Raw genomic sequence first — 25296 nt, forward strand, 5'->3', positions numbered from 1 at the left:
GCTTATGGGATTTCCAGCAGTGCCAGAGAAACAGGTGAGGATACCACACAGCCGGAAACAACCCCAGCAGAAATGCCCAGCCATAAACAGGGCTGTTCTCACAGAAGCCCCACTGCTGCTGCTCACCATTCAATACCTGTGATGCTGGGGGCTGGACAGTGAGGCTTCTCTCAAGGCTCTTTCACGGTCATGTCTGCAAAAAGATGGACCCAACTACATGTGCTGCCACTTCACTTAAATGACCTTCATCTTCCTGGAGCACATAGGCATCTGCTGGGCAGAACCTGGGTCATAGGCAGAACCCTAGCTACAAAAGAGTCCAGACACTGTAGGTTTTAGAAATGGTCAAAGCAGATATTGTGTGGACCCATTCGTGGAATCTGCCACAGTGACCATATCGATTTCAGGCAATTTGTAAGTAATGGTAATCATGAGAGTTATATGAGAATAATGGCTAGCAATTTCCAGTGCTTTGTAGCACTTAATATCTTATAAGCATGATTTCATTTAATCCTCAAAGCAGCCCTATGAGGTAGGTACTATTCGTATCCTTGGATTGTAAGTGAAGACATCAAAGGACTAGAGAGGTTAATTCACTCACCCCACATCTCATGGTGGTAAAAAGCCAGGATTCAAACTCAGCTCTGTCTGAATGAAAGTCTGTGCTTTCAGCTAGTATACTGCTAATGCTTTACTAATTATTATTTTTAGTTTATCTTCTAGGAGCAGCTTGACTATCTAATCTGGGTTTACCACTTCTGGAAGACTTTTTACCCACAGTGGGACTCTGATATTTGTGTAACTGGAAATGGAAATGAGATCTTCTGAATGTGGAATGCAAAGGAGAGGGTACGTCTCACCAATCCTGGGTTATATTACCTTTGTGTCAGATGTAAGGTGACAAGCCAAGCATAGGACATGCACCAAGTGGAAAAGTCCACTGAAAATTTTATCTTTGAAGAGAACAGAAAAAGCATTAAATCTCTATATCTGGTACAGTCTATATGGGTTGTTTTATCTGAAAGGGGAAGGAGGAATGCTTTAAAAAAAAAGGTAACCTTAACTCTAGGCAAAACTTAAATTATTTTCTTCTCTTTCTTCATTTCTAAAGCTACAGCCAGTCAGACAAGATGGGACATGTAGTGTTGCACAATGATCCTGCTGCATTTTCAGCCTCCAGGCTGAGAAGCAAGTGCAATTAACATTCCAAGGTGGGAGTTATTTCCCCACCATTTGAGCCCTGCAGCATCTTATTGTGATTACAAAGGCTGGACTAACTGGCTTTGTCAATGTAATGTATACACATTAAACATATACAGACAGTTCTTGAAAAGTTATAAATTCAAACATTCCATAGTATGTGGAACCCAGTAAATTATAGAATGGGAAATGCTTTCAAAGGAGCACCTGATTCAGCATCCTCCTACCTCTTGTTTCTAATTAAAACAAAAAAAAAAAGAAAAAGAAAAAAGAAACATAAAAACAACGGCATTGTAGTCATGCTTTAATTTCATTCTAAACTTGTGTCATCCTGTTGAATTGAGGCCCACAGGGAACAGGGCCCAGCAAATCCCTGGACCTCCTGGTATTTGGTATAAACATAGCAGCTAACCTGGACTGGCTTCCACAGAGCTAAGACATTTTCTTTTTTGCACACAGAGCAGTATGCTCCAAAATTATATGTACATGTTGCAAAAGTATATATTTTGTTCCAAATATATGCTCTAAAATTATATATAATATATATATATTTTATATATATATAATTTCTTTGAGTCAGGGTCTTGCTCTGTTGCCCAGGCTGGAGTTCAGTGGTGTGATCATAACTTACCTCAGCCTTGAACTCCTGGGATCAAGCAACTCTCCTGCCTCAGCCACTTGAGTAGCTTGGGCTACAGGTGAGTGCCCCCATGTCCAGCTAATTTTTATGTTTTGTAGAGATGGGGTCTTGCTTTGTTGCAAGGTATCTAACTCCTGGGCTCAAGTGATCCTCACGCCTTGGCCTCCCACAGTGCTGGGATTACAGGTGTGAGCCAATGCACCTGGCCATGAACACATAGTTTTAAAAATACTTATTTGTTTAAATGTATATTAAGAAAGACATATAATAGGTCAAACATGAGATTCGTGGATGTTATTGCTCATAGCAAGGCTAAGATTTTAAAAAAGAAGGGGGAATCACTGAAAGGAATTAGATAAATAAATAACATGATACTCTAGCAAAACCAAAAACGTTGCAGGTGGTCCTGGAGTGATGAAAGTGAGGGAAGCCATCGAAGAGAACAGTGCCTGGATTCAAGTGCCTGCTCTGTCCCTGACAGGCTGGAAAGATCTTGAACAAGTCGTCTCCCCCTGATGAACTTCAGACTGTAAACTAAGAGGATGTACTGGGGCAATGTTGAACGTGGGGTGTGTTCTTCCTTGTTCCAGGAGACCAGGGCTTCCCATGGTGTCTCAGGCACTGGGCAGGAAGAAAGGTGAGGCTTCCACTCCCAACAGCTTCAACTAGAGGCAGCTTTCACTAGCTTTACAAATGCAGCTTCTTACAGAAGTTGGTTTGAAAATAAGGTTTCATTGGTTAAAAAGTCTGAAAATGTTCTTCTCAGCCCCAAAATAGAATATTTATATACTACGCTTTTGTAAACGATAACTAACCAAAAAGCTAATGATATCAAAATAAGTTCAGCTGGCGTGCGGCTTGTTTCAGGAAGTCTGTTCAAGAGGAAAGTATAGCCAAATAATAACAGATAATGTGTTTGATCACAGGCTATCCCAGGCACTGAGCTATATATACTAATGAATCTTGGAAAAACAAAACCAATAAACAAAATAAAACCACCACTAGGAGGTACGTTTTATAAATAACTCCACTTTACAGATGAGGATACTGAGGCTCAGAGAAGTGAAGTGGCTTGGCTTAGCTCACCCACTTTGTGCACAGTCAGGGTACAAACACAGGCAGTCTGACTCCCCTTAACTGTATCACTGTGTCGCCTCGCAGGAGGGCAGAGAGAGGTGCCTGGTACCTGGGAATCGGCGATCTCTAGCAATACAGATAAATACCCCATTTAGTGCACATTTCAGGCTACCCAGCATCCATGACCCAATTTTCAAAGATTTTCCATTCATCTAGTTGTTAGGCAGTGGTGGTCCGGGCATGCTTCTTTGGCCAGGCCAGGGATGATTTCTGTTTCATGGTACAGTCTTTGCTGTGAGGGTTCATCTGGGTGGGGGCTCACAGGCCTCTTACAATGGAGTTTCTCATATTCTGAACCAATTCTGGGTTCTCAGGCAGGTCCCTGAGTCATATTCTTTTTTCTCCTGGATCACAGGGCTGGGTCTACCTACTTTCTTTCTTTCTTTTTTTTTTTTTTTTGATACTGATTCTCGCTCTGTCAACAGGCTGGAGTGCAGTGGCACAATCTGGGCAAACTGCAACCTCCGTCTCCTGGGTTGAAGCAATTCTCCTGCCTCAGCCTCCAGAGTAGCTGGAATTATAGGCATGCGCCACCACGCCTGGCTAATTTTTGTATTTTTAATAGAGACGGGGTTTCACCATGTTGGCCAGGCTGGTCTTGAACTCCTGACCTCAAGTGATCCACCTGCCTCAGCCTCCCAAAGTGCTGGGATTACAGACATGAGCCACTGTGCCTGGCCAGAAGTCTTCATTCTTTACAGTACTTCAGGACTTCCAAATGCCTCTTCACTCTCTCCTCATGGTTTGCATTCCTGCACTGGTGACTCTCTCTTCATTGCAGTGCCTTCTGCATATCCCACACGGCAGGAGGCCCAGACAGGAACCCCCACGGTGTAAAAGGATAATGTTTGATCTAAGCGTTCTGTCCAAATCCCTCCAGATCTTTTTTTTTTTTTTTTTTTTAATCAGGCAGCCCTCAGAATCACAGCAGATTCAGAGAGAGTGCCCCTCTAGATTTTTTTATGATTTTGGTCATTTCTCTCTGCCTTCAAGTGTGCTTTTGTTTACAATGGCCTGCACCTGTAACTCTTCTTAGGGGAATTTGCCCTGGGCTACTGGAGCTGCTTTTCACTCAAGGACAGAATTCTGGAAGTGTCTAGTAGGTTTTCATGCTCCTGGTGTGGCCCTTAGTGGATGACCAAGGGTGAGACCCTCTCTTGCCTTAGGCTGAGACAGACTCAGGTGTGACTTACATCCCAGAGTGTTTCCCACCCACCCCCTCCCTGCAGGATCAGGCTGAATCACAGACTGGCTGGGCTCCTTCCCTTGCCTGCCTCCTCCACGCCTTCACTGATTTCTCCTGGGAGCCATTTTTTAAATTTATTACTTACACACAGGTCCTCATCTCAGGGTTTTGTTCTGGGAAACCCAACCTAGAAAAAGACTTAAAAGAAAAAAAAAGAATTACAACTTAAAACTGAAAATAGTTATCACTGGTTTTAATGCAGTATAATAAAGCCAGGCCTGTTCCTTCTCAGCCTCTTGAAGAACTTAATGCTCAATTTAACATTTTATTTACATTTTCATTCATCTTTTTATGAATTAATCACGCCCAAACTTTTGTTGCTCTTTCCTTCCTTTGAAAGGTTTCTGAGTTTCTTCCCTTCTCTGGAAGTTAACTGGTGAGGACTGCCTTAAACACAGTTTAAGGAGTTGTGTTGCCCCCAACCCCAATATCCCCTTTCAGGAAGTAGTGTCTTGGTTGTGTTTTGTCTTCCAACACACAGATGCATACACACACATGCACCCACAAATACACACTTGTGCACACACCAATGCACACAAATCATGTTCCCACATGCAGGCATGAATAAAAACATGCACTCACACACGTGTGCACACAGAAATCACGTACATGCACACATGCACACACATATGCACACCATAGTTAGGATTCAGGCACCTGCCTATCTGCCTGCCTAAACTGTTCACTGTGGAATTTCCTGATGCTTCTTTTTACTTGTGTGGTTTCCTGAAAGAGTATGAAGGACTCTGATGGTTGTCAACAGAGTGTCAAGTGTAGGACTGAACCAAATGACATACTGTTGAATATAATAAGAAAAATAGAAGGCACTGAGAGAAAAAGAAGGCGAGTAGTAAAATTTCTTTGGGTAGCTTCTAAGCACACATTTTTAAAGTTTTGCTAAAGTCTAAGGGGGCATACAAAATTACCTTAGATTAAATGTTTATTATAGCTTCCGTATTAATGTTAGGTCAGATTTATAATGTGGTAGACTCTGAATAGAACTATGTTTATACTATGTTGTATATACACTTTTATTATTATTATTATTATTATTATTATTATTATTTGAGACCGAGTCTCATTCTGTTACCCAGGCTGGGGTGCAGTGGCATGATCTTGGCTCACTGCAACCTCTACTTCCTGAGTTCTAGTGATTCTTGTGCCTCAGCCTCCCAAGTAGCTGGGATTACAGGCATGTGCCACCACACCTGGCTAATTTTTGTATTTTTAGTAGAAATGGGATTTCACTATGTTGCCCAGGCTGGTTTCGAACTCCTGGACTCAAGTGAGTCGCCTGCCTCAGCCTCCCAAAGTGCTGGGATTATAGGAGTGAGCCACCATGCCTGGCCTGCATTGTAATTTTCCAAAAGGAGGATGGAGTCATGCTTGCCAAACCTATTGGACTACAGCACCCTTCCTGAGGAGCATCTCTGGAAAGAGAGTCCAGTGGACAATACTCTCAGCAGTGCTGACCCGCTTTACCCTTGGACCTGCACGCTTGCAGTGATCTGGTCTAGCTTTTTGTTACATGAACACCAGCATTTTCCACAGATGTGACCTCCCACTGTCAAGGTGATTTAAAACAAAATTTTTTGTAGAAACCAAAAGAATCCTTGCCAGATAATTTAAGCATCAAAGAGATAAATGCACATGTGATGTTATAGAAGGAAAAGAATCTTCTTGGGAGGTGCTACTTCTCCCCTAGCCCATGAGGACCAATAAATACTAATGAGGACCCTTCTCATCTATAAGCCAGGGTGCTAAGCACCCTCCACAGACTATCTGATTTACTTATTACAGCACTGCCACGTGGTAGATGGCATTTTTCTTACTTTGTAATAAAAAAGCCTGAGGGTTAGAGAAGTTAAATAACTCACTTGAGGTGCCCAACATCATCTGGTAGGTCTGGATTCAAATCCAAACCTGTAACACCAAAGCCCATGGCCTTAAGCAATAAAAGGTAAAAGGCTGGCATGGTGGCTCACCCCTGTAATCCCAGCACTTTGGCAGGCTGGGGCAAGTGGATCACCTGAGGTCAGGAGTTTGAGACCAGCCTGACCAACAAGGAGAAATCCTGTCTCTACTAAAAAATACAGAAGTAGCTGGGCATGGTGGCGCATGCTGGTAGTCCCAGCTACTCGGGAGGTTGAGGCAGGAGAATCGCTTGAACCCAGGAAGTGATGGTTGCGGTGAGCTGAGATCTCGCCATTGCACTCCAGCCTGGGCAACAAGAGCAAAACTCCGTCTCAAAAAAATAAAAAAATAAAAATAAAAGGTAAAAAAAGCAAAGAATGAGGGGGAGACATGTCCAAGTGGACATCTGTACATCCCCCTTCCCTTGTGTGGCTCTAGCTGCCTGGATTTAAAGTCAGGTCAGAGCCCACATACCCCAAGGTATGGGGCCCAAAGTGACCATGCTAATTTCTCAGGCCTTAGGTCAGGTCACTCAATGATAATAGCTGATATTTATGGAGTGCTTCCCCAGTGCCAACCACTGGTAGGATCTTCACACGCGTGATCTCACTTAAACCTTTAGGTTCAAAGCTGTGAGGTAGGTACTATAATGACCCCATTTTACAGAAAAGCATAGGTTCAGAGAGGTTACTTTGCTTGCCCAGGGCCACACCACTAGGAAACGGTAGAGCTGGGCTTCAAAACCAGGTCTGGTCTGAGTTCAGGCCATATACTTAACCCATACTTAACTCTTTGAGTTAAAACTAGAAAAAAAATGGAAAAATCAGTCTTTTTTAGGTATTTCCAAATTATGAACATTTGCTGGTTTTGGGGGCTATGTAACACCCAGATCGCCTTCCTGTTTCATGGGAATTCCACTTTTGGAAGGTCTTGATGGGAGGGCCTCTGCCTGTGGGAGCTGGCAAAGGCCAGACATTCCCTGTCCCTGCCTCCTGGCTCACCAGTGGGCTGCTCCAGCAGGGAATGATGGTTTTGGGGGGCGTGATGATGCCAAGACACGGGAGCCCTTAGAGAGCATCCATAGCAGTGGCTGTGGCTGTGGGTGATGTTCCTGTGTCACATCTTTGGCTGGGTTTTCTGCTGACTCACCTTCATGAGTTCCTGCCTGTTTCCTGGGGCTGGTAGCCAAGCCTCCCCACCTGTTCTGTGACCCACCAACGTTTTTCCAATATACTCACTCCCTTTCTGTTTAGGTAAACTGCAGGTGGCTTCTGATGTGTGCAACCAAGAACCAGACATGTACAAAAGTCTTCGTACTTTTGGAATTATATAATTGGAGCCAAAGATAAACCTTTGTCTTAGGCTCCTGCAGATGATTTAAAAATGTATTCTTTTCTGAAATCCAAGCAGAGGACATAGCTGTGGCTTTGTCCTTGGGTAACAACCACCTTTTGTACACTGGGGCTATAGGCAGAGAATTCCAGTTTCTCAGCGTGACCTTCAAGGCTTTGCCCAGAATAGCTCCATTCATGACTCTGTCTTCTAACTAGGCCCGTATTCCAGCCAACCTGGCCTTCTGGCTGCTCCTTAGCCATGTTTTGCCTTTTCTCACCCAAATATTCACCTGCCCTTCTGAGATCAGCTTCTTCTAACACAGGTATACATGGAAAGCTTGGTCTTACATATACCTTGAGTCGTCCGCTTAGAAGCACGTCCTATATGTAATCCCAGCACTTTGGGAAGTTTGGCCAGATGGATCACTTAAGGCTAGGAATTTGAAACCAGCCTGGCCAACATGGTGAAACCCCATCTCTACTAAAAATACAAAAATTAGCCAGGCATGGTGGCATGTGCATGTAATCTCGGCTACTTGGGAGGCTAAGGCATGAGAATCGCTTGATCACAGGAGGCAGAGGTTGCAGTGAGCTGAGATCGCACCATTGCACTCCAGCTTGGGCAAAAGAGCAAGACTCCGCCTCAAAAAAAAAAAAAAAAAAAAAAGAAGAAGGTCCTATAGTCATAGGTTTCCCACTGTTTCTAGCTCTGCTGAGGGCCGCGGCTCCCCTACAGTGGTCTGCTAACTCCAACTCTAGGCCTGAGGTAGTCCACTTGGTAGGAGAAGAGTCTAGTTGTCTCTTCATAGGCCTCACTGGGAAGTGGGAAAGGGAGCGGGTCTCCTTCCCCTTCACCACACCACCCCAGGTTGTACAGATGGAACAACTCACTTCACTGGGCATGTTGGAACCATTGGAAAGCGAACCGAAATTCAATAGAAGGAAGGTGAAAGTTCTTGATGCATCTGATTCTCCCAGAGTTGCAAGGGAAAGTAGCACAAAATTAGGCCTTCACTTTGTTGGGGTAGAGGATTCTGCTAAGGTCTGGCCCTGAACGTCCTACTTTCTTGATCAAGCATCTTCTACTACAAGACTTTTGGGAAAACCTCTTTGAGTCACTGGAAACCACTGGGAAGGCTCTGTCCCATCCCCCTCCTCTCTCCAGACATTTCCTCATTCAAATGGGCAACTCAGCAGGACTATCAGCCCTGCTAGGACAAGGAAGACCTGAAGACCCATCAGAGGTAGCAGGAGCTGGGGAGAGGCTCAGGCTCACCAGGGTCTGTGGCTGAGGATGGGTATGGGTCGTCTGGGTCAGATTATCTTTGTGCTTGCTATTCCCTTCAGCAAACATGGCTGTGTCAGTAGCTTTTGAACTTGTTAGATTTAACAAGTAGTGGTTAATTAAGAAGCTTTTCTTCATTAACAAGGTGCTTCCCCTTTCCCTTGAAGTCCCTAAATCCCGTTATAATGTACAGGAGGGGTTAATCCCTTTCTCATTTTGCCTATCAGAGCAATGGAGGAGGCGTGTGGCTCATGCCTGTAATCTCAGCACTTTGGGAGGCCGAGGTAGGAGGCTCATTGAGCCCAGGAGTTCGAGACCAGCCTGGGCAGGGCAACACAAAAAAAAATTTAAAAATTACTTAGGTGTGGTGGTGTGCACCTGTAGTCCCAGTTGTTTGGGAGGACTAGAGGGAGGATCATTTAAGTGGGAGGATTGTTTAAGCCTGGGAGATTGAGGCTGCAGTGGGCAGTGATCATGGCACTGCACTCTAACCTGGGCAACAGAGCGAGACCCTGCTTAAAAACAAAGAAAAATAATAATGCAGGAGTTACTTTAAAAAAAAAAAGCTTTATTCAGATATAATTCAAGTATGATGCAATTCACCCACTTGAAGCACACAATTTGAGGGTTTTTACTACAGTATATTCACAGTTACAGGCCATCACCACAGTCAATTTTAGAATACTTTCATCAACCCAAAATTAAGCCTCATACCCATTAGCAGTCTTGGCAACCACTAATCAACTTTATGCCTCTATAGATTTGCCTTTTATGAACAATTCATATAAATGAAATTATACAATACTGTATGTGCTATTCTGTGACTGGCCTCCTTCACTTAGCATAATGCTTTCAAGGTTCATCCATGGTGTAGCATGTATCAGTACTTTATTCTTTTTTATAGATAAGTAGTGTTCATTGTATGAATATACCACTTTTGTTTATCCATTTATCAGTTTATAGATCTTTGGGTTGTTTTGACTTTTTGGCGATCATAAATAAAGCTACTAAGAACATTTGTGTACAAGTCTATGTGTGCACATATGTTTCTTCATTTTTCTTGGGTATATACCTAGGAGTAGAACTGATTGATCACAGCTCTGTTTAACCTTTGGAGGAGCTGCCAAAATGTTTTCCAAAATAGCTGCACTATATTACATTCCTACCAGCGCTGTATCAGGATTTCAATTTCTCCACATCCTTGCTACAACATTATCATCTGTGTTTTTTATTATAGCCATCCTACTAGGCATGAAGTGGTACCTCACTGTGGTTTTGATTTGCATTTTCTGATGGCTCGTAATGTCGAGCATCTTTTCTTGTGCTTATTGGTCATTAGTGTATCTTCTTTGGAGAAACGTATATCTACATCCTTTGCCTGTATTTATTTATTTATTTATTTGAGACAGAGTCTCTTTCTGTTGCCCAGGCTGGAGTGCAGTGGTGCGATCTCGGCTCACTGCAACCTCCACCTCCCGGGTTCAAGTGATTCTCCTGTCTCAGCCTCCCTAGTAGCTGGGATTACAGGCGGGTGCCACCATGCTTGGCTAATTTTTGTATTTTTAGTAAAGACAGGGTTTCACCAAGTTGGCCAAGCTGGTCTTGAACTCCTGACCTCAGATGATCCACCAGCCTCGGCCTCCCAAAGTGCTGGGATTGCAGGCATGAGCCACCACGCCCAGCCTATTTATTCATTTAGAGATGGAGTTTCATTCTGTCACCCAGGCTGGAGTGCAGTGGTGCAATCTTGGCTCACTGCCGCCTCTGCCTCACAACTTTCAAGTGATTCTCCTGATCAGCCTCCTGAGTAGCTGGGACCACAGGCACACGCCACCGCATCCAGCTAATTTCTGTATTTTTAGTAAAGAAGGGTTTCGCCATGTTGGCCAGGCTGATCTCAAACTCCTGACCTCAGGTGATCTGCCCGTCTCGGCCTCCCAAAGTGCTGGGTTTATAGGCATGAACCACTGCACCAGGCCATTTGCCTGTTTTTTAATTGGGTTATTTATTTTTATTGTTGTTTTTGAGTTGTAAGAGTTATTTATATAGTCTAAATACAAGTCCCTTATCAGATATATGATTTGCAAATATTTTCTCCCATTCTTTGAGTTGTCTTTTCACTTTCTTTATGGTATTCTTTGAAGCATGAAGTTAAAAAAAAATGTGAAGTCCAATTTACCTTTTTTTCCTTTAACTGCTTTGCTTTAGTATCATATCTAAGAAACCACTGCCTAACACAAAGTCACAAAGATTTACTTCTTTGTTTTATTTGATGAGTTCTAGAATTTTAGCTCTTATATTCAGGTCTTTGATCCATTTTAATTTTTGTATATGGTGTGAGATAGGGGTCCAACTTTATTACTTTGCATGTGGCTATCTAGTTATCCCAGCAGTATTTGTTGGAAGGACTATTCTTTCCCCGTTGAATTGTCTTGGTATCCTTGTTGACAATCAATTAACTGTAACTGTGAAGGTTTATTTACAGACTCTCAATTTTATTCTTTTTATTTATTTATGTATTTATTTTTTGAGATGGGGTCTCACTGTCTCACCCAGGCTGGAGTGCAGTGACGTGATCTCGGCTCACAGTAACCTCTGCCTCCTGGGTTCAAGCAATTCTCCTGCCTCAGCCTCATGAATAGCTAGGATTACAGGCACCCACCACCACACCCAGCTAATATTTTGTATTTTTAGTACAGATGGAGTTTCGCTATGTTTGACAGGCTAGTCTCCAACTCCTGGCCTCAAGTGATCTGCCCGCCTCAGCCTCCCAAAGTGCTGGGATTACAGGTGTGAGCCACCGTGCCTAGCCTATTCTATTGTTTTATATGCTGTCCTTATACCAGTACCAGAGGTTACTTTTTTTTTTTTTTTTTTTTTTTTTGAGATGGAGTCTCACTCTGTCACCCAGGCTGGAGTACAGTGGCACGATCTCTGCTCACTGCAAGCTCTGCCTCCCAGATTCAAGCCATTCTCCTGCCTCAGCCTCCCCAGTAGCTGGGACTACAGGCACCTACCACCATGCCTGGCTAATTTTTTGTATTTTTAGTAGAGACAGGGTTTTACCGTGTTACCCAGGATGGTCTCGATCTCCTGACCTTGTGATCCACCCGCCTCGGCCTCCCAAAGTGCTAGGATTACAGGCATGAGCCACCACGCCCGCCCTGCCTAGAAGTTACATTTTAATCAAGGCTGCTTTCTTTCCTTCCCCAGGAGGAGCTCCTGGTTGACAGTTTCTTTGTTCATAATTTAGTCTTGGAAGGAGGATAAGGTCAGAGAGAAAGGAGGGGAGGTAGGCAGTTCTTTATGTCTGTATTTTCTCAGGCTGTTCTTATTTCTCCAAGAGTGGGACTCCATACCATAGAGGACATGTTAGTGACACCCTCATTCATTTATTCATTTTCAGTGCATGGTGATACACTGCAGCTTGTCTGTGCCTAATTAAGTGGTTCTATAGATTACACTAACTGGATTCCAATAAACTAAATTTGCTGACCTTTTCTGTGAAGGCCAGAGGCTGTCAGTAGTATCAAAACATGCCTGCATTCATGTGCATACACACACAATGTGACCTTTAAAATAAAGGTGTTATTTAACAATGATTGAGAGAAAGACAAACTCCTTTCCTAAAAAGACACGTTAAGCAGAGGGCATTAGGAAAACAGATCTTTAAAAATATTTCATAGTTATGTGGTTTTGTTGTAAAGACAAGTATGTATTTATAAAAACTCATAGCTGTGGCCAGGCGCGGTGGCTTATGCCTGCAATCCCAGCACTTTGGGAGGCCAAGGCAGGTGGATCACGAGGTCAGGAGATCGAGACCATCCTGACTAACATGTGAAACCCTGTCTCCACTAAAAACACAAAAAAATTTAGCTGGGCGTGGTGGCGGGTGCCTGTAGTCCCAGCTACTCTGGAGGCTGAGGCAGGAGAATGGCCTGAACCCGGCAGGTGGAGCTTGCAGTGGCCAAGATCGTGCCATTGCATTCTGGCCTGGGCGACACAGTGAGACTCCGTCTCAAAACAAAACAAAACAAACAAACAAACAAAAAAAACGAAAACAAAAACAAAAAACCTCATAGCTGCATACTTTTAAAACTTGGAAATCAAAATTTCTAACCCATTTAGGATTAAAAGGAAATGTTTCAGTGGATTTTGTACTCATTTGTTAGTTTAGAAGAACAACTGGTTCCCATCAGGGAAAATGGAAAGACGCTAACAGCATTACAAGAGCAGCAGCACCTTTGCATAATTAGTGAACAGGATGGAACATTAATATCATAGGCCAGGCACGGGGGGCTCACGCCTGTAATCCCAGCACTTTGGGAGGCCGAGGCAAGTGGATCACCTGAGGTCAGGAGTTCAAGACAAGCCTGGCCAACATCATGAAACCCCATGTCTACTAAAAATACAAAAAAATTAGCGGGGCGTGTTGGTGGGCATCTATATAATCCCAGCTACTTGGGAGGCTGAGGCAGGAGAATTGCTTGAACCCCAGGGGCAGAGGTTGCAGTGAGCTGAGATCGTGCCACTGTACTCCAGCCTGGGTGACAGAGAGAGACTCTGTCTCAAAAAAAAAAAAAAAGAAAAACATTACATAGTAAGCAGAACTAATGACAGCTTCATCCATTTGTGTGTATGTACTCTTTTAGAGCAAATGTATAAGTTATGATATCCATTTAAAAAGGAACAAAATAAGCCGGGTGTGGTGGCTCACATCTGTAATCCCAGCACTTTGGGAGGCCAAGGTGGGTGGATCACTTGAACCCCAGGTGCAGAGGTTGCAGTGAGTTGAGATTGCACCACTGCACTCCAGCCTGGGCGACAGAGTGAGACTCCATCTCAAAAACAAACAAACAAAGAAACAAAAAAACTGAACTTTAGAAGCAGAACTTTGAAAAGAACAATAAATCAATATGCTGAAATCGAAGGGCCGGGCGCAGTGGCTCATGCTTGTAATCCCAGCAGTTTGGGAGGCCGAGGCGGGTGGATCACTTGAGGTCAGGAGTTTGAGACCAGCCTAACCAACATAGTGAAACGCTGTCTCTACTAAAAATACAAAAATTTAGCCAGGCAAGATGGTAGGTGCCTATAATCCCAGCTACTCAGGAGGCTGAGGCAGGAGAATCACTTGAACCTGGGAGGCAGAGGTTGCAGTGAGCTGAGATCACGCCACTGCACTTCAGCCTGGGTGACAGAGCGAGACTCCATCTCAAAAGAAAAAAAAAAATTAGTTTGGCATTGTGGTGGGTGCCTGTAACCCAGCTATGAGGGAGGCTGAGGCACGAGAATCACTTGAACCCAAGAGGTGGAGGTTGCAGTGAGCTGAGATCGCGCCACTGCACTCCAGCCTGGGCGACAGAGCAAGATTCTGTCTCAAAAAAAAAAAAATGCTGAAAAATGTAAAACAAGTCCAACCACAATGCTCTTACTAAAAATATTATTATAAACAATATTAACATTTTATGTTTATAATATATTAAATACTATTAATCATGTTGCAAATATTACTAATGCTGGAAGTTTTAGTGAGAACAAAAAGTAATATATTAAACAGAATAAAATTAAAAATAGTTAAAAATATATAGATTCTGTAAGTCCTATACTGGGCAGAGGTGCTTACATTCTTTTACTGATATGAATATGCCTTCAAAAAATTTTTTTTAATTTTAAAAAAGGAATATACCATCAAAAAAGTTTGGAGGCCACTGGCTTAAACTACTACAGTGTTGTAATACAGAACAACACTGTGAACTGCCAATAGGGAACTACAGTGCATGGCATTTCTCAAACTCGTCTGGCCATGAGTCATTTGGAGGCATGAAAGTTCCAAGAAACCCTCTTTGGACCATGCTGTATGGTGGATAAGAGCATGAACCTGGAGTCAGACAAAGCTGACTTCAGCTAACTACCAGACTCATCTTATACTAGCTAGGCGACCTGAGCATTTTACTAAATCTTTTTGAACTTTTTTCCTTATCTGTGAAATGGGGATAGTGATATCTACCTCATATGGTTGTATGGACTTTAAAAACAATATTGTATATAAGTGCATAGTATAATGCCTGATGTCTTGTAAGCACCCCTTAAAAGGAAGTTTCTATCATTCTATCATCTCTGATAGTTATTTAGAGACCTGATGTATCTTTCATAACTACACTTCTTCAGAGCAGAAATTGAATCTTCTCTTATGAGTCCCATGGAACACTTAGCTGCAATAGGTATGTGAGAATGAAGAAATAAATGATATTAATAGAAGCAGAGTTCTCTGAAAGACTGAGAGACTAACTATACCACCAAAGACAGAAATGTTTCTTTCTCAGCTGTTTATAACTTACCATTTTAATGGCTACACCAGAACATTCACATAGGATGAATCCTCATAGTAATTTTCCTTACCTAGGCAGTTGATAACAATTAGTCTGTTACTAATTGTTTCCAGCTGCTCCCCTTTGATTAATCAATCAAAACAAATTTATAATGGTTCTCCTGTGGTTTGATACTGCTAGGAGCCTAGCATGCCTGTGATGAAGACAAGATGACTACGTGTGCTTAAAAGTCCGGGGAGTAGGCTAGGCACGATGGCTTACGCCTGTAATCCCAGCACTTTGGGAGGCTGAGGCGGGCAGATCACCTGAGGTCAGGAGTTCTAGACCAGCCTGGCCAACATGGTGAAACCCTGTCTCTACTACAAATACAAAAATTAGCCAGGCATGGTGGTGGCTGCATGTAATCTCAGCTACTCGAGAGGTTGAGGCAGGAGGACTGCTTGAACCTGGAAGGTGGAGGTTGCAGTGAGCCAAGATCATGCCACTGTACCGCAGCCTGGGCAACACAGCAAAACTCTGTCTCAAAAAAAAAAAAAAAAAAAAGTCAGGGGAATAAGGACTGGAGTGGCCAAAGCAAGTTCAGCATCAGAGGATTAGGTGGGCTTTAAAGGAGAGACAGTGACTCAGGCCTATAATCCCAGCACTTTGGGAGGCTGAGGTAGATGGATCACTTGAGGCCAGGAGTTTGAGACCAGCCTGGCCAATATGACAAAACTGCAACTCTACTAAAAATACACGGATTAGGTGGGCATGGTGGTACATGCCTGTAATCCCAGCTACTTGGGAGGCTGAGGCATGGGAATCACCTGAACCCAGGAGGCAGAGGCTGCAGTAAGCTGAGATCATGCCACTCCAGCTTGGGCAACAGAGCAAGACTCTGCCTTGAAAAAAAAAAAGAGAAACAAAAGAAAAGTTATTTCAGACCCAGGTAAAAAGAACAAAGGCATGATAGTGTCCATTTCTGGCTCTGATTTCCTTTTGTGCCCCTTCCTCTGGAATGTTCCTCTTACAAAGTTTTGTTATAGTAGTACTAATGATACTACTACCACTTATGACAATTACATAATTAGTTACTTAATAAATAATCCAAATAAGTCCTAGACATCACTTGGCCCAGTTTTGGAGTAGTATAACATTCAGAGGAAGAACCTAGCAACCAAAAATGAAGTTAATTCCTATGTATATTTTCCTAATTACAACCCACAGTAACACTTCTGAAAATCACCTCTCTTTCTATGCCTTTAGGTCTCCATTCAGCAGCTGCTTAAAGCCCCTCTTTCTTTACTTTTCTCAGTATCTGTGGGGGTCAGTTAGGGTTACATTCAGCTGCATGGAACTGAAACCTGGATGCACATACTTCACAAAACAGAGGTTTTATTTTTCTTTCTGTAACCAGAACTCTGGAGGTAGGCAGTTCAGGGCAGGTACAGCTGCTTGAAGAAGTATCAGGGACCCAAGCTTCCTTTAGCTTCCATCTTTTGCAAAATAGCTGCTTCACTTCTAGGCTTTGATCTACGTTCTCAGCAGGAAAAAGAATAAAGAGTAAATGACAAAAGATCTGTGCTGTTGCTGGCAGGTTGGGCATTTGGTGGCATCAGCAGCTGGATCAGCCTTGTTGAGTGGGAGCCCTGCTACTCTGTATTTGCATCCTTTTCTCTGATGTTCCCCCAGGGTATGCCACTTTTTAAAAATGTCGACTGTTGGCTGGGTGAGAGGGGTGCAGTTTTAGAAGCTTCCCCAGGTATGGCCTTGGCCTTCCCCACTATGACAGCTCTTGCTCCACAGGCCAAGGAACTATCATAGAGGTTCTGCCAACCACCAAGTATGCCCATGCTAAGTACCCATTCAGAGAGGACAAGGACTCATCACTATATACCCTTGCTGGGAATCCGGTCTTCCTCAGTCATTAGGTTCTGGAAATTGGCTCAGGTTGAGAAACAGGGCAAGGGATTATGACTATTGGGGCAGCTCCTCTCAGCTGCCTCCTTATCTGTCCTTGTGTTTTAAAAACTACATCTTGAGGCACACAGTATCCTACTAACTACCTTCATAGCTTCCTGTGGGTCAGGCTTCCTTGGATGCCATTCTATCTTGCCACTTCTAACAATGCCACTTAATCTTCTGCTAGTTATGCACTGCTACCTGGTCTCTAGCAGGCCCATTGCTATCAGGGACCCTAGCTCCTGAAACATCTTCCACTATAAGCCCTGGTCTACAGAGAAAAGTGACTATTGGACTTCTCAGTGATGCTTGTGTCCCTCTCAATAGCACATTCCTTATTGCTTGTGATAAACAGCAGAACACAGCTGACAGGATAGGATGTAAATAATATGTCATTCCCACTTCTGAGTCTTTTGCTCCCTTCTTCCATTGTTTGCCAGGACAGCTCTGGCCTTTCTATTTTGCTTAGTGTGGACCACTGCTTTCTCCAAGCTTTCTAGAGCCATCCTAGCAATCTGTTAGCTTTATCTCCTGGAGTCCTTGCCAGAATGTAAATACTGTAGTACAGGAATGTGCTTATATCAATATGCTCTGCTTTATTTAGCATTATTTTCTCCTCCCTCCCCAATTCAGCACACTGGGGACCCTTTACCCAGTTCTCCCACCTTCTGCAGATGTGTATATAAGTTGGGTAGGTTTTTTTTCAGAGGAGTCTCTCTCTGTCACCCAGGCTGGAGTGCAGTGGCCCGATCTCGGCTCACTGCAAGGCCCGCCTCCTGGGTTCACACCATTCTCCTGCCTCAGCCTCCAGAGTAGCTGGGACTACAGGCGCCCGCCATCACACCCGGCTAATTTTTTATTTTTTTATTTTTAGTAGAGACAGGGTTTCACCATGTTAGCCAGGATGGTCTCGATCTCCTGACCTTGTGATCCACCCACCTCGGTCTCCCAAAGTGTTGGGATTATAGGCATGAGCCACCGCACCCGGCCTAAGTTGGGTAGGTTTTTTAGCTCCTTCAGGATACAGTGCCTCTCCTCCCTTAGCAGGTCTAGCATTTTCTTAATGGGGTTATGTGTGACTTGACCTTAGTTATTGGTCTGTTAGACAGGTGGAAAAGTGCAGGTAGATCTGAGGAGAGCGTGTGTTGCCTTGCAAGGCAGATAATACTTCTTGATCTTCAAGCAAGGGGGTGGGGTGCTAGTTTCTTGAGGGAGGAGTGGGACACTTCTACAAACCCAGAGCACTCAAGGTGATGTGGGGTTTTAAGGTTCTCAAGTGCATTGACCCAGATGCCCCATCTAAAGTGTCAGGGTCCCACTTCTCAACTATGCCCCTGACCTTGGTATAGTACACTCACTAGGGCTGAAAACCTTTTTGGCGTTCTTCTGCTCTTATAATTAAATCCTGAGCTTCATCTTCCGCTTTTTCTGCCTTATGCAGCTCCTACTTCCTTTATATGCTGCTAAGGAGGCACACTGGCTTTCTTCCTTAGCCTTTAATTGGTGATTCATCATCCTCAACCTTTCATTGTCTTTCTCCAAAGCACAGGTTTACTCCATCAGTAGCCATCCAATTTCATTGTTCTTAAACTACTATTTGCCCTATATTGTTAAAATGCCTGATAGATTGCACCTACGAGTGCATTGTTCCACTGAGGTTACATCCCACCCATTCCAGCTCTTCACCATTGCTGAAAGTTTTAACATCGTACTGCTATGGCACGCCGGGGCCTGTCAGGGCTTCCCCTGTGGACCTTACTGCTAACTGGCCAGGGGAATGATTCAGCTCCACTGGATCAAACCACATTCATGGGACGTTTTTGTCCGTTTGTTTTGAGACAGGGTCTTGCTCTGTCACCCAGCCTGGAGTGCAGTGGTACAAACATGGCTCACTGCAGCCTCTACCTCCTGGGATCAAGCAATCCTCCAGCTTCAGCCTCCTGAGTAGCTGAGATGACAGCTGCTCACCGCCATGTCCAGCAAATTTTTTTATTTTTTGTAAAGATACGATTTTACCATGTTGGTCAGGCTGGTCTTGAACTCTTGGGCTCACGCGATCCACCTGCCTCAGCTCCTAAAGTGCTGGGATTACAGGTCTGAGCCATGGTGTCCGGCCACACTCATGGATTTAATTGCCCTTGGAATCAACACCGTGCAGGAAAGGAGTAGGATTGAGCAGAAAAAGTTGAACTAAATGTAGTTACAGCAAATGCCTCAGCTTCCGGATCCTAAGGGAGCTCTGGTGCCAGGAGAGCCCTTCAGAGCAGCCCCACCCTGAGCCCTGCATCTGCCAGTCAGTGCAGACGGACCTGGTGAGAGGCAGCTTTCTTCAGCTGAAGGCAACTCCTGGAAAGGGATTTAGCTGATAGGTGTTGACAAGTAATGCGCCCAGCAGCTGAGGAAATGAGCACCTTAGTCCTGAAGAGTGGTGTGCTCTTTGGTATGCTGGGATGGTTGGTTGTGCCAGTGGAGATGGGGGTGGTGGGCAGAATGAAGGGAATACTACTGTAAAAGCTTTTTATTTTTTATTTATATTTATTCATTTATTTATTTTTTAAGACAAGGTCTAACTCTGATGCCCGGGCTGGAGTGCTGGAATGCAATGACACCATCACAGCTCACTGTAGCCTTGACCTCCTGGGCTCAAGCGATCCTCCCACTTCAGCTTCCCAAGTAACTGGAACCACAGGCACATGCCACCATGCCCAGCTAATTAAAAAAAAAAATTTTGTAGAGATGAGGTTTCGCCATGTTGCCCAGGGTGGTCTGGAACTCCTGGGCTCAAGTGATCCACCCACCTTGGCCTCCCAAAGTGCTGGGATGACAGGCATGAGCCACGGCTCCCAGCTTGGAACAAAACTCTTCGAAGAAAAAATTGGCAGAGCTTGTTGCCTGACCAAAAAACAGAGGCTGAATGAGAGAGATGCATTTAAAACAATACGAAACACTAAGGGTTCCCTGAATACTGTTGGACAGTGCAAAATGGGGGAAGTTAGGATACAAATCTAATTCTGTTCTACTGTAAGGCTCATGCCTTTTCACTAGACTAGTGCTGGTCAAACTGGTGTTCCATGGGCTACATTCAGACAGCAGACGTATTTTGTTTGGCTACACAGCATTTAAAAAATGTAAATTGGCTGCCACTATGTAAAAATTGGAAGAGTTTATATGTAAGTTCAGATCTCTAGCTTCTCTTGAGTAACTAGAAGATCTAGCAACACTGGGTCAACATTCCTGCATGGCAGTAACTGGAGTTGAGTGACAGATACTCTTTAAATGGAGAGAGTATCTCTTATCTGGATAAATGGAGGTGGGTATATGCTTCTTAATTCACCACAGTCTCTATGCATTACCTTCTTTGGCATTTTTTTTTTGAGATGGAGTCACTCTGTCGCCCAGGCTGGATTGCAGCAGCACAATCTAGGCTCACTGAAACCTCAGCCTCCTGGGTTCAAGCAATTCTCCTGCCTCAGTCACCCTAGTAAGTAGTTGGGATTACAGCCATGTGCCACCATGCCCGGCTTTTTTTTTTTTTTTTTTTTTTTTTTAGTAGAGATGGAGTTTCACCACATTGGCCAGGCTGGTCTCAAACTCCTGACCTCAGGTGATCTGCCTGCCTCGGCCTCCCAAAGTGCTGGGATTACAGGCATGAGCCACAGCGTCCAGTCTTCTTTGGCACTTTTGTTTAGCATTCCTGCCATATGTACTATGTATGGTCTAACAAAGTACATAATACATAACAGGCATTTGGGTACTTTTATTTTTATTTATTTTTTAGAGACAGGGTCTTGCTCTGTTGCCTAGGCTGGAGTGCAGTGGCGAGATCACAGCTCACTGCAGCCTTGACCTCTCTAGCTCAAGTGATCCTCCCACCTCAGCCTCCCAAGTTGCTGGGACCACAGATGCACACCACTATGCCTAACTAATTTAAATAATTTTTTTTGGTAGAAGCTGGGATCTCACTATGTTGCCCAGGCTGGTCTGAACTTCTAGGCTCAAGCAATCCTCCCACCTCGGCCTCTAAAAGTGCTGGCATTATAGGTGTGAGCCACCACGACCGGCCCATTTGGACACTTAATACTGGTTCAGCAGAACTGAATGAATTTAATTGGAGAGGAAGTTGGGGTGAAGTCTAGGCCTCTGACTATAATGAGAGGTTTGGCACTGAGGGGAGGCAACAGAACAGGGAGTACAAATTAGGATGAATTAATGACATGCTGGCAGGAGCTTGAGTAAAGGAAGAAGAGCAGAGGGCCAGGGCCTGAAGTTTGGGTGTCTTACCACAGAGCTAAAGAAGAGTGGGCAATGGTAGACTAAACTAGAGAAGAAGAGGAGAGAAAGGCACAGAGGAACTTCAGCAACGGAATGCCAGGGAAGGCAAGGGAGCTGAGGGTTTGGGCAGTTGCATCCAGTGTAGGGAAGAAGATCAGGGAGATAGACAGGCAAAAAGCCATGGCAACAAGGAAGTAGTTAGGGACTTTCAGAGGAAGTATGAGAAAAGGAGAGGAAGGTCATAGGTCTGAAGTTTAGCAGTGCAGTAGGGGGCACTGGAATACTATCTTGGGGGTATGAGTGAGTGCTTTTTCAGGGGTCCTACTTGGGAGAAACATAGATAGACATTCATTTAATATTCATCCATTTCTTTCCAGCATAGTCATCATTCTGACATCATCTAAAAGAAATTAGTATCTGCATTGCATCCTTAAAGAAGAAGGGACAAAAGACATGTCCAAACTGTCTGTCTGTTCTAGTGGAATAAAACATTAATTTAATATGTATTTTGGACAACCACCAACCTAGAGATTGGAAACTTTTCTCAAGGATATATCTCTCTGTATGTGGGCTACTGGCTTTGTGGCTTTTCTGTAGGAAAATTAAAATTCTAGTTTTGTTCTCCCTTATCACCCAGTGTCTGTGTGGCTTAACTGGCTGATTAGCGCGTGCTTGGAATGTGTAAATTCATTTTAACATTGGCCTAGGGGCCTGTGTGGTAGCTCACCCCTGTCATCCCAGCACTTTGGGAGGCCAAGGCAGGGGGATCACTTGAGGCCAGGAGTTCCAGACCAGCCTGGGCAACATAGCAAGACTGTGTCTCTACCAAAAAAAAAAAAAAAAAAAAAATTAGCCAAAGCAGGGTGACACTCACCTGTAGTCCCAGCTATTCAGGAGCTTGAGGTGGGAGGATCACTTCGGCCCAGGAGTCTGAGGCTGGAGTGAGCTATGATTGAGCCACTGCACTCCACTGCACAGAGTCAGACCTTGTCTCTGAAAAACAAAAACATTTGCCTAGGTAAAATGTATCGAGGAAGACAAATTTTAAAATTACTCATTCCAGGCCAGGTGCGGTGGCTCACACCTGTAATCCCAGTACTTTGGGAGGCTGAGGTGGGCGGATCATGAGGTCAGGAGTTCAAGACCAGCCTGGCCAATATGGTGAAACACCGTCTCTACTAAAAATACAAAAATTAGCCGGCTGTGGTGGCGCATGCCTGTAGTCCCAGCTACTCGGGAGGCTGAGGCAGAAGAATCACTTCAACCGGGAGGCGGAGGTTGCAGTGAGCCGAGATCGCGCCTCTGCACTCCAGCCTGGGTGACAGGGTGAGACTCTGTCTTAAAAAAAAAAAAAAAAAATTAGTCATTCCAAAGTCCAATGTCAGACATAGATTATCCGTTGTTTTGGATGTAATCCTCTTCCTGGAAAACTGGCACAACCCAATTACACATGAAATCCTTTCAACTCTGGTATTGGAGGTATAGGGAAGGACTTTGTTTTAGGAGACCCATAGTCTACCTCTATTGTTCTAGGAGTTAAACCACGTTGGTTTACATCCTGACTTTGCCACCTGTCAACTCAGACCTTGGGCAAATCAAAGGTCTGAGGGAGGAGTGCAGGCTCCCAGCGTTCCCACGGGGGTGGGGACGTGACGTATTCATCAGTTCATGAAGTTAATGATATGTATTGAAAAGGTTTGTTCAAGGATTTAAATAAGACGATGAATATATTGAATTAATAATGAATGCAAGGCCTTAAAGGTGTTTTGAGGGTGGTGAAACTTGAATCTCTCATCAACTGTGCAATAGTTATATTAACTTGGATGGCTATGAGTTTTGCAGAGGAAAGCTGGGCTTAAATCCCAATGCTAGACCTGGTGGCTAGACCTTGATTGCCACCGGGTCTAGCATTGGGATTTAAGCGACCTCTAAAAAAAAAAAATCACGGAATCTCTCTTTGGCCTTCCTTTTTTGTTTCTCAGCAGTCTACCAAGCTACGAAGAACCTGAAAATCGGAGGTCGTGTACCTTATTTTTTCTGAGAGCTTAAGCTGAGAGCACAGCCTCCCCAGGAGATTAGCGGCAGAGATCCGCGCGCTGGGAGAAAGGCTAGCCCCAGGGCGCCCTAACTTCCAACTCCGGGAGCAATCCAAACCCGGAGGCCGGCGGGGGAGGGGACAGCTGTAGGGGGCGGTGGGGATGGGAGTGGATGCTCCCGGGTCAGCTCTGGCACTCGCCAGCTGAGCCCAGCGCCAGTCTAGGTGAGCCCCACGGCGGTGAGGGACGCTCGCCAGACGGCCCAGAGGAGTTAGATGACGTCACCTCCAGGAGGACTCGCTTTTTCATTAATGAAACCGGCCGGCGCGGGCGCATGCGCGGCAGGCCGCCTTCCCTCTCGCTTCCCCCTCCCCTTTCCCAGCCGCGCTCTCAATCTCTAGCTCGCTCGCGCTCCCTCTCCCCGGGCCGTGGAAAGGATCCCACTTCCGGTGGGGTGTCATGGCGGCGTCTCGGACTGTGATGGCTGTGGGGAGACGGCGCTAGTGGGGAGAGCGACCAAGAGGCCCCCTCCCCTCCCCGGGTCCCCTTCCCCTATCCCCCTCCCCCCAGCCTCCTTGCCAACGCCCCCTTTCCCTCTCCCCCTCCCGCTCGGCGCTGACCCCCCATCCCCACCCCCGTGGGAACACTGGGAGCCTGCACTCCACAGACCCTCTCCTTGCCTCTTCCCTCACCTCAGCCTCCGCTCCCCGCCCTCTTCCCGGCCCAGGGCGCCGGCCCACCCTTCCCTCCGCCGCCCCCCGGCCGCGGGGAGGACATGGCCGCGCACAGGCCGGTGGAATGGGTCCAGGCCGTGGTCAGCCGCTTCGACGAGCAGGTAACCGGCCCGTGGCGGGCGGGAGGTGGGAGCGGAGTGGGGGTGGGGACAGAGTAGGTGAGGGGAGGTAGGAGCGGCCGCCTCCCCCGCGGCTGCCTCAGGCTCTGGAGGAAAGGAAGGGAAGGGAAGAGAAGGGAAGGGGGGATAAGTGGGGGTGGCCAAGGCGGGAGGTGAGGGGTAGGAGGGGACAGCTGGGAGCTTGGGCACCCTTTCCCTCCTAAGTCGGGGGGTGGGGCCTTGTCCCTGACCAGCCTCCGACCCTCCATCCCCTTTATCCCAGCCCTTCCGCTTGGAAATGGGGATGAGTGACCTGGGGGCGCCTTTAGGGGCGCGCCATCTGGATTTAATAATTACCCCCTTACTTTTGTTTTTGAGCAGAGGTGGGTAACGTTTAGGGGTTCTCTCTTCCTCTTCCCTCCGTGACCCTCCTAACTGGGGACGAGCGAACCCTAAGGCCTGTCTTATATACCCTCAATAGGAGAACGATAACATTCCGCCCCTCCCCCAGTTTCTTCAGCTTCCTCTCCTGGAGGGGGAAGAGCAGAAGAAAGCAAGGAAGGCACAGGTTTTCTTACTTTCTGCTCCATCGTCTCATCCTGCCCCGAGAGCTTCAAGTGCACACTCACTGCACATCTTTGTGATGCCCTACAACGTCGTCCCCCATATCCTGATGACACAGACTGCCTTTTTTTTTTATTGCCGTTTGCAGTGGAAACCGTGGTTCTGAAATATCTTCCCCTTCCTTGATAATTGCAGTCTCTTCCCCCCCCCCTTTTTTTTTTGCCAGCGGTCTGAGGATGTGATGCATTCTCGAGTGAGAATGTTGGGGAGTAAAGGGGAGAAGGGTGAAAGGAAAGTGAGAAACTGCTTCAGAGCCACCGACAACAGAGCAAAGCCAGCTGGGATGTGGTCCTGGAGCGGATCATTCTGCTAGTGTTTGTGGTTGTTTTTGACTCTCTCCTGGTTGACAAGAGAACTTTCATTGAGAATATTTGGGATGAAAAAAAAGTTTTGTAGCTTGAGGAGGTGACTTTTTATCGCCTGAGTTTCACACAATAAATCCTGGGGCTGATTAGAATAAATGCACACATAGCCTTTTGTCAGTGGAAATTGGTTTAACTTTGTGT

General features: G+C 45.3%; 1 protein-coding gene, 2 long non-coding RNA genes and 1 other non-coding gene across 7 annotated transcripts in view, besides 17 other annotated features; 2 read left to right on the forward strand and 2 right to left on the reverse strand.

Annotated features, from left to right (window-relative positions):
* MIR4733HG (MIR4733 host gene) lies at positions 19542-24290 on the reverse strand. Of its 2 annotated transcripts, none has more exons than NR_186435.1 (4): positions 24027-24290; positions 22173-22291; positions 19825-19918; positions 19542-19735 (listed from the first exon to the last, which is right to left on the reverse strand). It is a non-coding gene; the product is annotated as an MIR4733 host gene (long non-coding RNA). The 2 variants fall into 2 exon arrangements; NR_186436.1 differs by lacking the exon at positions 24027-24290 and adding an exon at positions 23326-23614.
* Positions 20435-21927, forward strand: LOC124903974 (uncharacterized). Its single transcript, XR_007065704.1, has 2 exons — positions 20435-20507; positions 21676-21927. It is a non-coding gene; the product is annotated as an uncharacterized LOC124903974 (long non-coding RNA).
* Positions 22405-22428: a protein binding site, noted in NCBI's record as "Sp#1 site". NCBI's record gives the evidence for it as "EXISTENCE:protein binding evidence [ECO:0000024][PMID:10435592]".
* Positions 22405-24181: a biological region, named in NCBI's record as "NF1 (neurofibromin 1) promoter region". NCBI's record gives its function as "regulatory_interactions: NF1".
* On the reverse strand, positions 23150-23225 carry MIR4733 (microRNA 4733). The gene has a single exon (NR_039886.1). It is a non-coding gene; the product is annotated as a microRNA 4733 (primary transcript).
* Positions 23345-23368: a protein binding site, noted in NCBI's record as "TLF oligo 3". NCBI's record gives the evidence for it as "EXISTENCE:protein binding evidence [ECO:0000024][PMID:15767669]".
* Positions 23357-23782: a promoter, noted in NCBI's record as "-270/+155 promoter; pMXNF13". NCBI's record gives the evidence for it as "EXISTENCE:reporter gene assay evidence [ECO:0000049][PMID:14647436]".
* Positions 23390-23629: a transcriptional cis regulatory region, noted in NCBI's record as "-263/-3; BssHI/EcoNI fragment". NCBI's record gives its function as "mediates inhibition by HTLV-1 tax protein" and the evidence as "EXISTENCE:reporter gene assay evidence [ECO:0000049][PMID:8627811]".
* Positions 23477-23500: a protein binding site, noted in NCBI's record as "Sp#2 site". NCBI's record gives its function as "positive regulation of promoter activity" and the evidence as "EXISTENCE:protein binding evidence [ECO:0000024][PMID:10435592, PMID:14647436]".
* Positions 23603-23626: a protein binding site, noted in NCBI's record as "CRE; binding blocked by cytosine methylation". NCBI's record gives its function as "positive regulation of promoter activity" and the evidence as "EXISTENCE:protein binding evidence [ECO:0000024][PMID:10435592, PMID:14647436]".
* Positions 23770-23787: an enhancer, noted in NCBI's record as "-320/-336 ICSBP/IRF8-binding cis element; nf1TATACAT". NCBI's record gives its function as "mediates activation by Spi1, Irf2, and Irf8" and the evidence as "EXISTENCE:reporter gene assay evidence [ECO:0000049][PMID:17200120]".
* Positions 23770-23787: a protein binding site, noted in NCBI's record as "ICSBP/IRF8-binding cis element". NCBI's record gives its function as "positive regulation of promoter activity" and the evidence as "EXISTENCE:protein binding evidence [ECO:0000024][PMID:17200120]".
* Positions 23770-23787: a protein binding site, noted in NCBI's record as "ICSBP/IRF8-binding cis element". NCBI's record gives its function as "positive regulation of promoter activity" and the evidence as "EXISTENCE:protein binding evidence [ECO:0000024][PMID:15371411, PMID:17200120]".
* Positions 23770-23787: a protein binding site, noted in NCBI's record as "ICSBP/IRF8-binding cis element". NCBI's record gives its function as "recruits Irf2 and Irf8; promotes transcription in myeloid cells" and the evidence as "EXISTENCE:protein binding evidence [ECO:0000024][PMID:17200120]".
* Positions 23777-23800: a conserved region, noted in NCBI's record as "conserved_region; NF1HCS 24 nt element". NCBI's record gives the evidence for it as "COORDINATES:sequence similarity evidence [ECO:0000044][PMID:16059932]".
* NF1 (neurofibromin 1) overlaps positions 23777-25296 on the forward strand; it is a 282699-nt gene continuing 281179 nt past the window's right edge. For all 3 annotated transcript variants that reach the window (NM_001042492.3, NM_000267.4, NM_001128147.3), the window contains exon 1: positions 23777-24169. In NM_001042492.3, coding sequence (NP_001035957.1) covers positions 24110-24169 — 60 coding nt within the window. In that variant the 5' untranslated portion in view covers positions 23777-24109. The remainder of the gene's footprint in view (positions 24170-25296) is intronic.
* Positions 23856-24166: a transcriptional cis regulatory region, noted in NCBI's record as "+231/+539 fragment". NCBI's record gives its function as "negative regulation of promoter activity" and the evidence as "EXISTENCE:reporter gene assay evidence [ECO:0000049][PMID:14647436]".
* Positions 24022-24091: a silencer, noted in NCBI's record as "silent region_8408". NCBI's record gives its function as "represses an Ori minimal core promoter by ATAC-STARR-seq in GM12878 lymphoblastoid cells {active_cell/tissue: GM12878}" and the evidence as "EXISTENCE:reporter gene assay evidence [ECO:0000049][PMID:35858748]".
* Positions 24032-24055: a protein binding site, noted in NCBI's record as "+415 (SP1) site". NCBI's record gives the evidence for it as "EXISTENCE:protein binding evidence [ECO:0000024][PMID:14647436]".
* Positions 24078-24101: a protein binding site, noted in NCBI's record as "+460 (KLF) site". NCBI's record gives the evidence for it as "EXISTENCE:protein binding evidence [ECO:0000024][PMID:14647436]".
* Positions 24132-24181: a silencer, noted in NCBI's record as "silent region_8409". NCBI's record gives its function as "represses an Ori minimal core promoter by ATAC-STARR-seq in GM12878 lymphoblastoid cells {active_cell/tissue: GM12878}" and the evidence as "EXISTENCE:reporter gene assay evidence [ECO:0000049][PMID:35858748]".

This window comes from Homo sapiens, chromosome 17 (genome assembly GCF_000001405.40).
Source record: "Homo sapiens chromosome 17, GRCh38.p14 Primary Assembly".
Classification (NCBI taxonomy): domain Eukaryota; kingdom Metazoa; phylum Chordata; class Mammalia; order Primates; family Hominidae; genus Homo; species Homo sapiens.